At 47.7% G+C, this 17467-nt stretch overlaps 1 pseudogene, besides 2 other annotated features; it reads right to left on the bottom strand.

The window, feature by feature from the left end:
• Nucleotides 8251–8966: an enhancer, noted in NCBI's record as "H3K4me1 hESC enhancer chr7:54732225-54732940 (GRCh37/hg19 assembly coordinates)". NCBI's record gives its function as "activates a minimal SCP1, AML or CMV promoter by ChIP-STARR-seq in primed H9 embryonic stem cells {active_cell/tissue: H9 hESC(primed)}" and the evidence as "EXISTENCE:reporter gene assay evidence [ECO:0000049][PMID:30033119]".
• Nucleotides 8967–9682: an enhancer, noted in NCBI's record as "H3K4me1 hESC enhancer chr7:54731509-54732224 (GRCh37/hg19 assembly coordinates)". NCBI's record gives its function as "activates a minimal SCP1, AML or CMV promoter by ChIP-STARR-seq in primed H9 embryonic stem cells {active_cell/tissue: H9 hESC(primed)}" and the evidence as "EXISTENCE:reporter gene assay evidence [ECO:0000049][PMID:30033119]".
• RPL31P35 (ribosomal protein L31 pseudogene 35) lies at nt 16723–17183 on the bottom strand (annotated as a pseudogene).

The following is a 17467-nucleotide window of genomic DNA, read 5'->3' as shown; positions in this document are numbered from 1 at the left end:
CAGACACTTAACAAGAGCTATGTAGAGGGTAGCTGTTGTAATTGCGAAGATACAATCTTCTCCTAACCTACAGCCTAGATCCTCCACATACTGAGCAGATGGAAAACTCTAAATGACTCTGATGCCTGGTAGAATAAAAGTCCTTGTCTGGTCATGGTGGCTCATGCCTGTAATCTCAGCACTTTGGGAGGCCGAGGCAGGCGGATCATGAGGTCAGGAGTTCGAGACCAGCCTGACCAACATGGTGAAATCATGTCTCTACTAAACACACACACACACACACACACACACACACAATTAGCCAGGCATGGTGGCGCATGCCTGTAATCCCAGCTACTCAGAGGCTGAGGCAGGAGACTCTCTTGAACCTGGGAGGCAGAGGTTGCAGTGAGCTGAGATCGCGCCACTGCACTCCACCCTGGGCGACACAGCGAGACTCCATCTTAAAAAAAAAAAAAAAGAATAAAAGTTCTTACAGGGCATCACTCTCCTCTGACCTGCCTGTGGCATTTGGCTTATAAGGACCACACCTCCCAAGATGCAAAGGAAAGAGTTAAGAATACATCACTCAAAATATGCCATCCTGGCATACTGACTATTTAAGTAAAGATACTTGAAAAAACAGCAGGTGCAACAACATCGCGCTAACCTTCATGTCGTTTCCTAAAGCAGGGATGTAATGCCTGTGGGAAAGATGCCCTCTACAGAATAACATTCTTATCATCAAAGATGGACAGTTGAGGCCAGAATAAAGCTGTACAAACAAACTTTGTTAAGCCAGCCCTTATCTTCTTAGTCACCCTTCTCCCTGTGTCCTACCCTAGCCCAGTCCCCTTGGTCTTATCACATTTCACAACTATTTTTTTGTCCAATTCAGTATATAAGGGACTGAGTCTAACTGCTTCTTGGGGTCTTCTTTTCTGTATGAAGGCTCCGGTGCCATGTAAACTCACATAAAATAAATTTTATGCTTTTCATCTGTTAGCCTATCTTATGTCAATTTGATTCTCAGGCCCAGCTGGCCCCGAAAAAGATGGAGAGGCAGTTTTGCTGCCTCTACTCAATGTATCACTCTCAGTCCTCCCCGAAAAACTGCTTCGTGGGGGTGTGACTGCTGCACTTACCAAGAGCCCCACCCTGGGAGGGTCCCCACTCTCAGAAGTGTCCTGTGCTGGTTTTAATACTCTGCCATCAACTTGGGCAACATAGGAAGACTTCGTTTCTATAAAAACAATTAGCCAGGCATGGTGGTGTACACCTGTAGTCCCCACGACTCTGGAGGCTGAGATAGGAGGATCGCTTGAGCCCGGGAGGTCAAGGCTGCAGTGAGCCACGATCGCACCACTGCGCTACAGCCTGGGCAACAGAGCAAGACTCTTAACTAAAAAAAAAAAATTCTGCCATTGCCATCTGGAAATTCAGAGGTGCACAATTTGTATGTCTGCCATTCCATTCTTTCCCCCACAATCACGTTCTCCAGGATCATAGCATTTCAGTGGACCTACCAGGCTGGGTCTTCAGCAAGACTGGGTTACCAAGTGAGAGCACTCCCTCTATGACAGGATGAGTAAGGTGCACCCCAGAGGCAAACTTTCTGTCTGAACCGGAACTCACTTTGAATTGCAAAAAGGTATTTACATTCTGCTAAAGGTGAACAACCAGAGAAACCTATTATGTTCTTTATTTCATTAGTCCCTGCATTAGCCAACCACTTACACTGAAAACCATGGCAAGAAGAAAATGGAAAAATAGGGTTTTTGTGGGAAAAAATGGAAAAATGTTGCTTTTTTTTTTTTAAATATATACTTGCTGCTTCCATTTAGGAACGCTGGGGTCCAGGAGGAAGACTCTCACTAAAATCCGGTTTTCATTTCAGCAATGGCGAGCTGCTGCTCATGGTCTTGCTACTCAATTCAACTGCCAAATTCATTTCATTTCAGCAAGGGGAGCTGCTGCTCATGGTCTTGGGTTCTCTGTTTGGGGCCAGTTGTGTCCTGTGTCACAGGCATGATTTTGGACACAGCACCTACAGAAGCACTATACTCCCAAAGGCATGTTAGGAGAGTCCTTAGCCACAGGAGAATTGCACCTCTCAGCCTCTTCTCACCTCTCTGCCACAGGTCTGCTTCTGTGTCTAGCTTGATAACTGGCTGCTCTGTCTCTAGATTTTGGTGATTGTAATATCTCTAGTCACAGCCACATTTCTATTTGGAGGCTTGATTATATAAACTTCGGTACTTGTACTTACCTTTCCATTTTCTTTATTTATAATGACAAAACTCAGATACTTTCTGGAGGTGTATACCTGACAAAATGCCTGGGCAACTAAAGCATTTTCAGTTAGTCAAATGACCCACCCACATTTCCACCCCTTATGGTTTTTTGATGCTGCCTTATTGAGGTGCCAGAGAGAAGTGAATTTGCTGTACTAAACTGTACAGGAAAATCCATGGTCCAAAAGTATAGGAGAAGAGGTGCTTTTCTTTCTGTATTTTTTATTATTCAAGCCACAGCTTTATATATATAGCAGGTACTTTGTACATCTTTGTTCAAAGAGTGAATTCAAGACGGCATTCTTCAGTGATTAGTGCACCTCTTTTAAAGCAACTTTCAAAGTGCACATCCTGTAATCTATGCACTGGGGGTAGTTAGGCTGTGTGAGTGTGTGTGTGTGTGTGTGTGCACATGCACATTCTCTAAGAACTGAGTTCTCTTTTGGTTAATTCTAGTTCTTATTTGTAAAACTAGCTTTTAAAGAAAATTGTTCTGCCACTAGAAGTGATTAATCCACCTCCACATTTTCTATCATCAGTGAATTTAATTAACGTGGTGTGTTCCTTCCTTTGAGAGATTAGCAATTAAAACAGTTCTAACTCTCCTCATCAACACACACCTGAAAAATTAAAATAGATGCCTGGTCTTAATTGTTGCTGCTACTGCTGGCTCTTCGTATGATGACCTTCAACCAGTTTACTTTTCATGTATCTGCATTCATCTGAAGAGTCATTTCAAATAATTTTTGAGGTTTTCAGAGACACACAATCTTAAGCTTTAGTAAAGTCATTATCAAATGAATTAAAATAAATGCACTCCTACCATGTATTCATATTCAGAACTGATGATGAACATTCATTTTAAAAGCAAAGATACCTGTTTAAAACAATACAGAGCTGAATGTAAGATCAGGCATTGGATAAAATAGGCAACAGAGAAATAGAAAAAAGGGCCCCTTGGCCTTGACTTCTTCTACTGGGTGTTTCTTGTGATTATGGAATCCTGGTTCCTTAGGACGGCCAGTTGCTTGTTGTGGCTGCTTCTTGCAGTTCTCCTGCTGTCCTCCATCCTGGTCTGAACAGTGATATTTAAAAATGGGAAACCTCTCTTATCTGTGTGTTAATAACTCACTATTTAAGAAAGTCTTTGGTTTGCCAGTGAGAATGTTCCTATTTATAATTAGTCTTCTGGCCAGGCGCGGTAGCTCATGCCTGTAAACCCAGCACTTTGGGAAGCCGAGGTGGGCGGATCACTTGAAGTCGAGTTCGAGACCAGCCTGGCCAACATGATGAAACCCCGTCTCTACCAAAAATATAAAAAATTAGCCGGATGTGGTGGCACGTGCCTATAATCCCAGCTACATGGGAGGCTGAGGCAGGAGAATTGCTTGTCCCCGGGAGGTGGAGGTTGCAGTGAGCCGAGATCGTGCCACTGCACTCCAGCCTGGGCCACAGGGTGAGACTCTGTCTCAAAAATAAAATAATAAAATAAAATAAAATAAAATAAATCTTCTTAGAGGTATAGAGCCCTAAGATGTCCGGGACGGATGATGGCAGGTGACTGGATTCTGGGAGTTTTCCCCATGAATGATGCATTTGGGTAAGGGGTGGTGAGGAATGCCTTTGAGACAGACTAGATCATCAATAAGGCATCTTCCAGTTACAGCGCCACTCCAGACCCCTCAACAAGCTCTGTGCAATAGCTGCTGCCTCCTTGACATTTCCCGTTGGAGGTTTCATGGTTACCCTGGAGCCAATGTATGCTAAAATGAATCTCTGATCTGCCCATCCAGGGCTACTCTATGAAAACACAGTGTTTCCCATCTCAGCATGGCACCATCCCCTACCCAATGGTAAAAGTAAAAAACCTCAGCGTCTCTTCCCCATTGTCACCTGGCTAACTCCTAGCCTTTCAAGTCCCAGCTTCATGCTTAGAATGTGGATCCACTCCCAAGCTAGGTCTGTCTTTTGCTTTCTTACACTGTCCTGTACTTTATGTGCATCTCATTTATCAAATCAATTATTATGCAAATGGGTGATTACTTGTTTATTTTCTCTCCTATTAGAATGCAAATATCACAAGAGCAGGTACTGGAACAATTTTTTTTTAACCACTCAGCTACTAGCTGGGTACCTAGCATTTAGTAGGCACTCAGGAAATGTTGTTGTATGAATGACAAACATGTTATGATTGCTATTGGTGTATAACTATCAGAAAAATTCCTTAATATAACAAGCCCTACCTGGCTTTCAATGCAAATATACACTATCAGTATTATACCCAGATTCGAGACAAGTACATTTGTAGAATCTTAAATGGCCTCTTGAGAGTATGACATTCTCATTCCTACCTTAATTTTATTTGCTTTATTGTATATTACTTGTAAACTTCTAGAGGAAAGGGACTAAAGGAACTCATGTGTGATTATTATAAGCAGTGTACCCTCTCCCTCTCCCTCTCCCTCTCCTTCTCCCTCTCCCTCTCCCCATGGTCTCCCTCTCCCTCTCTTTCCACGGTCTCCCTCTGATGCCTAGCCGAAGCTGGACTGTACTGCTGCCATCTCGGCTCACTGCAACCTCCCTGCCTGATTCTCCTGCCTCAGCCTGCCGAGTGCCTGCGACGCCACGCCTGACTGGTTTTCGTATTTTTTTGGTGGAGACGGGGTTTCGCTGTGTTGGCCGGGCTGGTCTCCAGCTCCTAGCCTCGAGTGATCCGCCAGCCTCGGTCTCCCGGGGTGCCGAGATTGCAGACGGAGTCTGGTTCACTCAGTGCTCAATGGTGCCCAGGCTGGAGTGCAGTGGCGTGATCTCGGCTCGCTGCAACCTCCACCTCCCAGCCGCCTGCCTTGGCCTCCCAAAGTGCCGAGATTGCAGCCTCTGCCCGGCCGCCACCCCGTCTGGGAAGTGAGGAGCGTCTCTGCCTGGCCGCCCATCGTCTGGGACGTGAGGAGCCCCTCTGCCTGGCTGCCCAGTCTGGAAAGAAGTGAGGAGCGTCTCTGCCCGGCCGCCCATCGTCTGAGATGTGGGGAGAGCCTCTGCCCCGCCGCCCCGTCTGGGATGTGAGGAGCGCCTCTACCTGGCCACGACCCCGTCTGGGAGGTGAGGAGCGTCTCTGCCCGGCTGCCCCGTCTGAGAAGTGAGGAGACCCTCCGCCTGGCAACCGCCCGTCTGAGAAGTGAGGAGCCCCTCTGCCCGGCAGCCGCCCCTGTCTGAGAAGTGAGGAGCGTCTCCGCCGGGCAGCCACCCCGTCTGGGAGGGAGGTGGGGGTCAGCCCCCGCCAGGCCAGCCGCCCCGTCCGGGAGGGAGGTGGGAGGGTCAGCCCCCCGCCCGGCCAGCCGCCCCGTCCGGGAGGGAGGTGGGGGGGTCAGCCCCCCGCCCGGCCAGCCGCCCCGTCCGGGAGGTGAGGGGCGCCTCTGCCCGGCCGCCCCTACTGGGAAGTGAGGAGCCCCTCTGCCCGGCCAGCCGCCCCGTCTGGGAGGGAGGTGGGGGGGTCAGCCCCCCGCCCGGCCAGCGGCCCCGTCCGGGAGGGAGGCGGGGGGGTCAGCCCCCCCGCCCGGCCAGCCGCCCCGTCCGGGAGGTGAGGGGCGCCTCTGCCCGGCCGCCCCTACTGGGAAGTGAGGAGCCCCTCTGCCCGGCCGCCCCTACTGGGAAGTGAGGAGCCCCTCTGCCCGGCCACCACCCCGTCTGGGAGGTGTGCCCAGCAGCTCATTGAGAACGGGCCATGATGACAATGGCGGTTTTGTGGAATAGAAAGGGGGGAAAGGTGGGGAAAAGATTGAGAAATCGGATGGTTGCCCTGTCTGTGTAGAAAGAGGTAGACATGGGAGACTTTTCATTTTGTTCTGTACTAAGAAAAATTCTTATCCTGTTGATCTGTGACCTTACCCCCAACCTTGTGCTCTCTGAAACATGTGCTGTGTCCACTCAGGGTTAAATGGATTAAGGGCGGTGCAAGATGTGCTTTGTTAAACAGATGCTTGAAGGCAGCATGCTCGTTAAGAGTCATCACCACTCCCTAATCTCAAGTACCCAGGGACACAAACACTGCGGAAGGCCGCAGGGTCCTCTACCTAGGAAAACCAGAGACCTTTGTTCACTTGTTTATCTGCTGACCTTCCCTCCACTATTGTCCTATGACCCTGCCAAATCCCCCTCTGCGAGAAACACCCAAGAATAATCAATTAAAAAAAAAATTATAAGCAGTGTAGCTAGGACAGCCAGACCTCTTCAATATTGTCTTTTTCTTCTTCCTGAAAACACAGATAAATGACTTTTCCACACGCTTGCAGTGAGGTCGGCCATGTGACTGCGTCCTGACCAGTGGAATGTGATGGACATGATGTTAGTACGTCTAAGTCAGGCACATAGATATGTTCCCTCATTCAGTGGTGACCTTGGAGGCTGCATGTTAAATATGGATGCCTCAGATAGAAGCAGCCTGGGTTCCTGAGTCACTGAATGGAGAAGAATCAGCCAACTCTAATTGGACTGTAACATGGGGAAGAAAGAAACAGTTATTTTGTTAAGCCACTGAAATTAGAGAATTGACACAACAACTAAACCATCAAGAATAATACAAAAATTGGTACTTCAAAAGGAAGTACTGTAGTAACAAAAATCTGATGGCTGACATTGACTTGAAGTGAGGTGGTGGGTGGCAAGGAAGATGATGATCCATGCTAACTACAGTGGAAATATGTAGTAAAACTTCTGTCTGCAATATCTCTGGGGATAAATTGTAAGCCTTATGATTCAGCAACTCTAGCAAAAGCAGTAGGAAAAAAAAATCAAAGTGTGATTGTGATTGTGTGTTTTCTATAATTGGTTGTGTTGGCATGCTATTCAAAGAAAGCACAGAGCTCAGGAGAAAACTGACCAGCTTAAGAGCACAAAGTCCAGAAATTTGGGTTCTTGAAGGGCTGGACATTTCAACTGCATTTGAAACACAAACAGTAGGCAATAATATATTGAAATAAAAACCTTTCAGCTAGAAAACCATATTGTGACTCAGTCTCATTACAATGATTAGATTAAGATTTTTCCTCTCATTATTAAGCTGAACTAGGCAAGGGTATGAGAAAGTTAAAAAAAAAAAGTAGAAGATTTAAAAATGTTGTCCATGAAAATGTTTTGGGTGTGGTTGCAGCCATACGGAACTGTTTGGAAGCAAATGGATCAAATGCCCTCAAAGAGTTTGAAGAAATTATATTGCCAAAGAAAGCATAAACCTAATCTACAAAGTCTTTGGGTCACATTGTCTTAGTCACCTTGGACTCCTCTAATAGAATGCCATAAACTGGGTGTCTTAGAAACAACATAAGTTTATTGTTCACAATTCTGGAGGCTGGAAGTCCAAGATCAAGGTGCCAGCATATTCCATGTCTGGTAACAGCCCATTTCCTGGTTCACAGATAGGCTTCTTCCCACTGTGTCCTCAAAAGTGCCTTTGAAAGAAGGGAACCAATCCCATTCATGAGGGCTCCACCCTGATGACCTGATCACCTACCAAAGTCTCCACCTCCTAATACCATCACATTGGAGATTAGGATTTCAACACAGGGGGTTTTTGGGGAAGCAACCGTTCAGTCTACAGCAGACAGCAAGGGAGATCCAGGGTATGTGGATCCTATGAGGGAAGATTCCCCAGCATCCAATTCAGAAACTGAAGCCCAGTGAGCAATTAAGAACTCCCACGATCCAGGGGTTTCCAAGAAAAACAGAGCATGGAGTTTTCCCCAGAGGATAGCCCTGGAGTCTAATGAGGGGCCTTCCCAGCCCAGGACAGAGGAATTTAGCAATTCTGGCCAGCGGAGTCAGGTGTCCTGTTGGGCTGTGATAGGGTGTTTCTCCCACTCTGTTTTGGAATGGTGGTGTGGTGTTTGTTTCAGAGATAATGTGCTTGTTTGCTGGGTGGAGGAGAGCAACCACTCTCCCTCTAGGTGATTGGTGGCAGCCCAAGAGGAGTCCCGGCCATGGAGTGAGATTGCCTGGGGGCCCTTTGCATTGGGCAGTGACTGGTGGGACTGTGGTTGCCCCTCTGGGGGAAGGCGTGAGGGTGCTCTCTGCATGGACGGGAGAATGTTTAGGAGGCACAGAAGGGTCTGGCCAAGTCTTAGTGATCCAGCGACACTTCTTTTTCTCCTCTTCCTGGCCACGCGGGAAAACCGAGCTTTCTAACACCTTTACATTAGGTGGAGCTGTGTCACAGGCCGCGGCAAAATCTCTCACCCTTGATCATTACTTTTTCCTTTAGACAGTGAACTTGGAGGCTGCATTTTTAAGGTGGTACAGAGAGGGAAAGAGCCTGGTCCCTAAATCACTTGTTGGCGTGTCCCGTGACCTAACCTGGATATGAGAGTGAGAAACACACCTGTTGCGTGGAGCCACTGAGATTTGGTGCTTTTCTGTTTGCGGACTCAGCCTAAGTGTCAGTGCACTCGGCTGCCAACTGCGGAGACTGTCACAGTCTCGGCCACAGGGCAGGGACGCAGCCCGCGGACCCGCAGATCCGCCCGCTGCGCCTGGGGCCCTCCCTTGGCCTGTGCAGCCTGCAGGTCCAGCACGTCCTGTGTCTAATTGCTTCCCTTGGTGGCTTCCTCATCACCGGCCGGTCAGCGTCATCCTCCGTGCAGGTCAGGCACAGTCTTTCTCGCGGAGGCTGGGACGCCCGGGCCGCTGTGCGGCTGCGCGGGACAGCAGGTGGCAGCGTTGCCCAGAGCTGAGCTGCAGCGGTGGATTCCCTGCTCCCGACCCTCGCGGCCGCGCGCCCGGGCCAGGCTCTCTGCGCCTCCGTTCCCTCTGCAAAGCGGGCTGCACGGAACCCCCTCGTGTGCCCGGAGCCTGTGCCCGGCAACAGCGGCCTGGGAAAGCTGAGTGCTCCTGGTGCAGAGCGCCTTCCACACTCATCCCGGAGGGAGGTGACGGGAGCCCAGCGCGGCTGTGTGGAACTGCGCGCGGCCTGTCAGATCTGCGTCTTCCCTCGTGAATGGATCAATTAGCCACTGTCCAGTGGGGGCCAGCATGCAGCACAGATTGATTGATTATTGCAGCCCAGGACGGCGCTGGGAGGTCACTTCCCTTTCCGCCCTCCTTCCACCGCCCCGTCACCCGTCTGTAGCTCTCTAGCCGTCCGTCTGCGTTTGCTTTTATCCCCTTCCAACCTCTTACACACTGTAGTCCGTGACCTTTTAGAAACGCAACCTGTTCAACCCTTTAGTGTGTTCCCGCTGCCCTCAGAGTGAAGGGCATCTTGGTATGTCCTGCAGGGGTGGCGGGGGCTGCTGATGCTAACACACGCTTTCAAGTGTGCACGCTCCTGCTTCCTTCATGTCCCTCTGTACTCTCCTGCCTAAGTTGGTTTTTCTTCTTCTTCTTTCTTCTTCTTCTTCTTTCTTCCTCTTCCTTTTCTTCTTCTTCTTTCTTCCTCTTCCTCTCCTTCTCCTTCTCCTTCTCTTCCTTCTCCTTCTCTTTCTCCTTCTCTTTCTTCTTCCAGTTTCTGGTCCAGGTTTTTTTCTGCTTCAAGGCCAACACTGTTCTCTAGTCCTGGAATCTCTCCTCCCCATAATGAACTCTGAATGAGTCCAGGTCCCAACTTGTCTCCACTCCAGCGCCCATGCCCCTCTCAGTGAAGTATTTCAGAACCATATCCTAACCAAGTGAGACCCCTGCGCTTCACTACGCACTAAAGATCCATTCTTCTCCTTTGCAGCCAGCACCACTCATGTAATCGTTTTTCCAGTCTGTCTTCCCTGCTGGGTGGAAAACCCTGGGAGCTCAGGGCTGTGGCTCCGGCCGCTGCGGTGTCTGCAGTGCTGCCCTTTCAGCCCTGGATCTTCATTTGCAGAATGAATTTACATAAGGTTAAGGGCAAGGTAACTCACATTGCTTCTTGCTGAAATCAAGCCGTGGCTTCCCCTTGCCCAAGGGATATGCGCATCCCAGCTCCTGCAAGACGCTGAGATAGGCCTGCCATGGTCAGGGGCTCCAAGCAGGGAGGCTATGGATGGCGGCCTCCGAACAGGGAGGCTATGGACGGCGGCGGCTCCGCTGCAGGGCCAAACTACACACATTGCTGCCCACTCCTTCCACTCTTTCCCGTCCCTTTTCCCTCTCAGTGCTTGGGACAGAAAAGTGAAGCTATCTTTAAAGGATCTGGAGGCAGGCTTGGGCTATTGGAGCCAGACCTTCCCAAATCGAGGAACCAAAGCGTGTTCTAGAAGGATGGTCACATGCCAGGGTGGGCACATTCCTTTATAGCCTTCAGAGCAACCCTGCCGGAGCCATGGAGCACAGCTGGAGTTGGCTGGCGCAGGACACAAGACCTGCCTTCCTGAGCGCCCTCTACCCCTCCCCAGTTCTCTCCTCCCCCTAGGACTCCTCCACAGGCTAGAACGCCAAGCTCTCCCAGGTGGGGCCCCCTGCCTCCCAAGCCTACTCCAGCCACCTTCTCTTACATTTCCCTCGGTGTCCTTTGATTTCATCCATAACTAACCCCTCCCTGAAGTTAGGCACTGGCTGTTTATCAACAGTCTTCTCTGGAACGCGACGGTGGAAGGCAGGATGCTGTCTGCCTGGCCTCTGTGGAGATCAGGGTCCACTCAGGGCAGAAGAGCCCACCTCAGTGCTCTCCTCTCTGTCTCCTCTCAGTGCCTTATTTGGAGTTCTACTGATTTTTGTACCATGCGAATCCCTATATAAAATAATCACCCACATATTTTAAAGTTAGTTGAAGAAAAATTGTGAAATTAAAACATCCATCTAAATAATTTGATGTGTCACTGAGTTTTCTCCAAAATTGCCCCATCTTTCCTTTGCTTTGATGATGACAATCTGGCTTGAAAGTGCTCATAGATAATATTTTAATTACAACTAGCTGAAAACAAGCTTGCCGTCCCACTTAAAAAACTGAAGAGGAAAATATGGAAAAGATGATTTAGAAATGAAGCAGGGATAAATATTAGAAGAGGAAATGGAGGTGTAAGTATATTACATATTTAATGTTGCTAAAGATCCAAGAATAACAACTTCTATGAATATTCATACTATATTTTTATTCTAAAATATTGTATGTCATAATAGCAATGCTATGTATTTATTTACTGAGGCCCCTTTACTTTTCAGAAAATGTTATATTTGTTTTAGTTATTTAAGGAAAAAAGAAAAGATGTAAGAATACACCTAAGTATAAGTGGCAGTGTTTTATAAACTGCTTAGTTTTTTTTATTTCAAAGATTTTGTAGTATTTTCCAAACTACTACCAAAACTTGTACCCACTCTCTAGATCATATATAAAGAATAATAAACTTTAGGGTATAGGACATTTAGTCCTACAAGGTAGATTATGGCACTGGGAGATGTTGGATCTACTGCACTTCTGAACCCAGCTCTCAGGCAGGGAACCATTTGTAAGTACATCTTATTGGCTGCACAGCTTTGACTCAGTCTGCTCTATTGAGAACTTACTAATGACAAGGTGATGACTGCACTGATTTTTTTACCCATAGAAAGATAATTTACCAAGAAATCTTCCTTTCCTTGCAAACAGTGTTTTTTTTTTCCTAGATCACAGTCAAAGCCCCAGGGAATATTTTGTGAGTGCCATGGAAGAGTGGGGCCGGTGGGTGTCGGGCATAGGCTATGTGTTGCCATTTTTCAGTTTCCTGACTCTCAGCTCCAAATTCATCCTTCATTACCTGATCTGTGAAGATGCAGGTGAGCCTCTTTCATATTTTTTCTTTGCCACTGATCCGATGTTAAGGATTGTCATTAGAAGGTGCTGGAGAGACATTACAGATAGTAGGGATTTTCTGTCCTGGCTCTCAGGGCATTTGCCATGCTCCTGGAGAGCGTGCATTTTTCTTTACTGCTCAGCAGTGTGGTTTCTCCAGTGCCAGGTGCATGCAGGCTACAGGAAGCTCTCTCCAGCATGTTGCTGCCATGCTTTCTGCAGTTCCTGATTTGGACAGCACTAGCATAGCCAGGGACACCAGACAGCACAGGACTGTGCCTCGGCCCAGGTCCTGCTCTTTGTACCCTCTCCTTAGCCCCACCCACAGGCACACTGAAGCTCCTTAAGGTTGGCCATTCGGCAGGCTGTACCTTTGTCCATGCAAGCGCCCACAGCTGCTCTGACCCAAGCTGTGCACAGAGGGGCACTGGGTCCCTGCAGAGGGTGGTCCACCACCTGCCAGCATCCCCTGCCTGTGTCCTGCAGGTGTATTTCCTGTGGCCCTCTCAACATGGACAATGACATAGACATGACAGGTTTTTGGTCTCACACCTGCAGTGTGCCCTGCTCTCTCTGCCTGCCTGTTGGCCTCAGTTTGCTGGTGCCACAGAGTGATGTTTTCACTTGTCCAGCCACTGTGGGCCAGCTGTGTCCTGGGAAGCCCAGCAAAATTCTCCACTATCCAGTAGGTGCAGCCATACTTTCTTCAGAAGTCTAAGCCCCCTCTAGCTGTGTCCTTCCTTGGGTGCTCACCCACAGCTCTGGTGCCCTGTAGAGCTCTTTCTGTCTCAATAGTTACTCTCTTGTCCTGTTTCTTAAGAAATAGCATCATATTTCTTTATATTAAACCTCCCTTGTTTAAATTGTGTTGTGGTCTGCATCTCCTGATTGGACCCAGACTGATAGATACATGCCAAGAAACTATTTTTGATATAAATTTTCAGATGATTTAGGCAAACACATGCCTTGATCCAGACTATTTGACAGAGGTGTGCAGAATGCACATGTTTTGAATTTGGGTGAAGGAGCTGGACACAGCCCCAGAGAGCATTGCCCCTGCCGTGTGCACCGTGCACCACCCAAGGGAGCAGTTGCCCCAGCAGCCTGGGAAGCTCTGGGCACAGCCCCCTCCCTGCTGACCCAGTGCTGAACATCTACTCTCCTTTTCAAGGCCGTTAGGGTTTGGGGCATCACCCCTCATGTGCCTGTGCTCCCATATAGAGCCAGATGCAGGGCCTCCTCACCCATTGTCACCCATGCTCTGGCCCCACGCTGCATGGACCATACTTTTTCTTACCTAATAGCTGGCCACACGCATGTCCAAACCTGTCCTCAGAACCCCGGAGCTCTGTCTCTGTGATTGCCACCAGTGTTGTCATACTTATTTTTTTCATCTTCCTCTAATGCCTACTGAGTGCCAGCTGTGTGCCCCAGAGGTGCTAAGCCTCTAACATGGATTAGTTCATTAAGCCTTGAAAGCCCCCTACATGATTGATTCTACTTTTATCCTCATTTTATGATAAGGTCACAAAAGCTTTGAGAGGCTCAGGCTAATGCCTTCATTCTAGACCTGCTGTGTCCAGTACTGCAGCCACTAGTCACATGGCTATTTTAACTTAATTAAAATTAAATAAAATGAAATGTTTGGATTCTAAATTACAATCGCCTCACTCCAAGTGCTCAGTAGCCACATGCAACTAGTGGCTACCATATTGGTCACTGCAGGAACAGAACGTTTCCATCATTGTCAAAGTTCTGATGGATAGGGCTGTTCCAGACCACTACTTCTTCGGCTATCTGTGGTGAAGAACCTGTTATTTTTGTCCTTTCAACTTTATTTTCAACACATTCCATATGGACATTTTGTGATATGTAATAAAACATAAACTACTGAGGGAGAGATGTGAACAGTGGTAGCTAAGCTGACAGGACAAGATGGCAGCCCCAGAGCTGTGGCTCCACTGTGGCTGCCCTGACAACCTCCTGAGCTGGCTTCCTCACCGCAGCCTCCCGGCCTGGATCCAGAGATGGTGTCTCCCAGTAACAGACTTTGTAAAAACAAGTGGTTCAATTCCTTATTTGTCTTGAAAGTGATTCAAGACAAGACATCCCCTCTAGAATCTCCTAGGGACCTTTCACTGTGTGAGGCACTGGGGAGATGCCTCTCTCCCTCCTTCAATCGTCTTGTGGGGTGAACATCCCATATGGCCCTTGGGAACTGGTCCCTTTAAGTCATTACCGAAGCATCATCTGTTCTTGTCCTCCTGTGTCTCCCAGTTTGCTGGATATTCCACTCCTTGCAGCATAAGTGTGTGGGAATAATTTTATAACCTCAGTCAGTTGCCATTCCGGAAAAACCCTTGCAAAGCTGTCTCCGGTTCCATAGTTTCTGACACACTGTGCAGCTCTAAATTTCCTGAGGTTTTATGCCTTCCTAGTACCGTTCCCTGGGAAAATTGGGTAAAGATAACTTCCACTGTCAGGTCTCCCAAATATGTCTTGAAATTTTCTGTCCCTTAGGGGCCCTGCTCCAAATCAGGCCACAGGATCCTTTTGTTATGAACTAGTCCTCTATGTCTGGACATGGTTTGCATGTCTTCTGAACAAAGGACATTGAGATCATCAATGGATGATCCAGGATGTTTGCATAGCAGATAGTCTTGGCAGTAGAAAGACAACGACTCCCTCTGTAGAGATTTGGAAACATCTCTTCTTGGAGAAATCCCAGTGTAATAAAAATAATGTCTCTTCTAGAGAGAAAGAGGACCAAGTTTGCTAGCAGCCCCTACAGAAGACCAGGATCTCCTGCCCCTGGAGTTCTTGGCTTTCACACAGATTCCCTGTGGTCATAGCATTCTCCTGGGCCACGTCATACCCACAGGACTCAAGGAGAAAGGGGACCCAATGCAAGCATGAGGCTCATGCCGCCTATGCTATGGGGACAACAAAGGGTCTAAATCCACGTGTAGAAGTGTGGCCAGCTGACCCAATGGGTGTGGTAGCTGCTGCCACGTAGGAGCTCCTTGACTGTTCGGTGGTCTTTCTAGCCCTGCCGACCTGTGCACTCTCACCACCACTCCTCCCTCTTTCCCTTTCTCTCTCACTTCTATTTCATGATGAGTTTATCCATGATGGTCTATTAGCCTTTGATTCATTTAGCAAAAATTGTTGAGAACCACTGTGTGTCCGGCAGAGCCCCAGGTGTGGGGATACATAGTGAGCAGCACATTTATTATTCCTTCTTTCACAGAACTACATTCTAGGTTGAATGGTGTGGGGGTGGAGTGCTGTGGAGATGGCAGTAAACCAGCAAGTACTAATAAAATATCAGTACAAGTGCTATGCAGAGGATTCAACCCCCAAGGAGAAACGAGGACAGTACTATTTGGCTATTTAGTCTGATAGCCATGCAAGGTCATTGGGCAGGTGACATCAGGTTGAGATTTCAATGAAATAAGAAGGAATCAGCTGTGCAAGGAGTTGCGAAAGAAGTTCAGGAAGACAAGATATCTAGAGAAAATGCCCTGAAGGAGAATCAAGCTTGGCAAGCTCCATAGAGGCTGGAGCTCGAGGTGGAGGGGTAAGATGAGGTGCATTGCAGATCATAAAGGGCACAAAGAGCCAGGAGGGGAGTTCAGCCTCCTTTCTGTGTGTGACAAGAGATCATGGAAAAGTTGGAAGCAGAAAAGAAGTGATTTGATTTAGGTTTTTAAAGGATCATTCCGGACTTGCACAATGGACATTATAAGGGAGACTTGGGATGACAGCAAGGATGCGCTTTTAAAGTAGAGTTGACAGGATGTACTGATAGGTATGTGATAAGTTTAAGAAAGGGGAAAAAAAGCATCTGCTAGAGTTTTGCCCGGAAGCACTGGGAGGAGTGGCTGGGATGCTGTGGCCCGGCAGACAAGGCCCTGTGCCATCTGCAGCTGACCGTTCTCCAGCCTCCTGCACACCGTCGATCTTCCGGACTACGAAGCACTGGCCCCAGCGTGCCGGATTTCTGCTCCTCCAACTCTGCGTCTTCTGACTCAGCATGGTTGCACATTGGAAGCCTCTGCCTGGAGCCAAATCCTCATCCATGGTCTCTAGTCTAGGTTCCCTCTTCTCACCCAGTCTTCGATCACGGCACAGTCTGTCTAAGTCATAGCAGCTGTCACCTTCTGTAATGGTTTGTTAGCTCATTTACTTCTTCATCTCAATCCCCAGCCAGAAGGGGAGGAGTCTTCTGTCTTTTGTTCACTCAAGCATGCTCAGCATCTGACTACCGCAGACACATGGTAGGTTCACAATGACTGCATTTTGAATGACAAGTTGCAGTATTATCATGAAGGCTTACATTTTGAACAAAGTCAATATTATGTTTTTTTGTGTGTGTGTGTGTGATAGGGTCTCCTTGTGCTGCTCAGGTTGGAGTGCAGAGATGTGATCATATCTCACTGTAACCTTGAGTTCTTGGTCTAAAGTAATCCTCCTGCCTCAGCCTCCTGAGCACTAGGACTACAGATGTGCACCACCACACCCAGCTAATGTTTTTAAATTTTTTGTAGAGGCAGGGTTCCACTATGTTGCCCAGGCTAGTCTTGAATTCCTGGCCTCAAGTGATCCTCCTGCCTTGGCCCCCCAATGTGGTGGGATTACAGGCATGAGCCACCTCACCTGGCCAAATTTTTATTATGATGGATACAGTCATGGATACTTCCTTTTTTTTTTTTTTTTTTTGCAATTTTATAACTTTATTTGATGTATTTGACGATCAGTGATTAGTTCTCATCCACATTGACTGTCTATAGATTTTTGAAAGTGGTAAAAGGTACATAAGTAACCAAAGTATGGAGCTTATTTGGTGAATCTTCACCCGCATTACGTTTTCTGGGCAACCGCACACGGATTCGGTATGGGACATTCTTTATTCTTTTGGCCCAGACAGCTTTGTTGAGCCTGGTATCAATGTGCACATCTGGAGCTCCCATCTCCTTCATGGCAAATTTCAGAATCTCTTTGAGTGCCCGAGGGCCTCACTTCTTGAAGCCCACTCCATGCATGCACTTGTATATGTTGATGGTGTATTCTCGGGTCACCACCTCGTTGATGGCAGAACGGCCCTTATCTTCTTGCCATCCTTCTTTGCGGGAGCCATTCTGCCTGGTCCAAGTTGGAAAGGAAGAGTGCGAGGGATTGTGATACTTCTTTTTACATTTTTAGAGTTTTAAAAATTTTAGACTCAGGACTTTGGCCAAACTAGTCACAATAATCAGTCTTATATGACATTTGTCTCTATAACTTCATTAGTGTATTCATTCTGACATTTAATAATCGATAATGCCATTTCCAATCACCATATTCATCATGATTTAGGCAGACAAATGGTAATTTAAAGCCAACATTTAGCAGTATTGTTTTTTAGTTATTCTCAAGCCTGATGTAATTATATAGTTGAAGTAGAAATTGAGTTTGTGGTGATAGC

Source organism: Homo sapiens, chromosome 7, assembly GCF_000001405.40.
Source record: "Homo sapiens chromosome 7, GRCh38.p14 Primary Assembly".
Lineage (NCBI taxonomy): Eukaryota > Metazoa > Chordata > Mammalia > Primates > Hominidae > Homo > Homo sapiens.
This window is presented reverse-complemented; position numbering and strand designations above follow the sequence as displayed.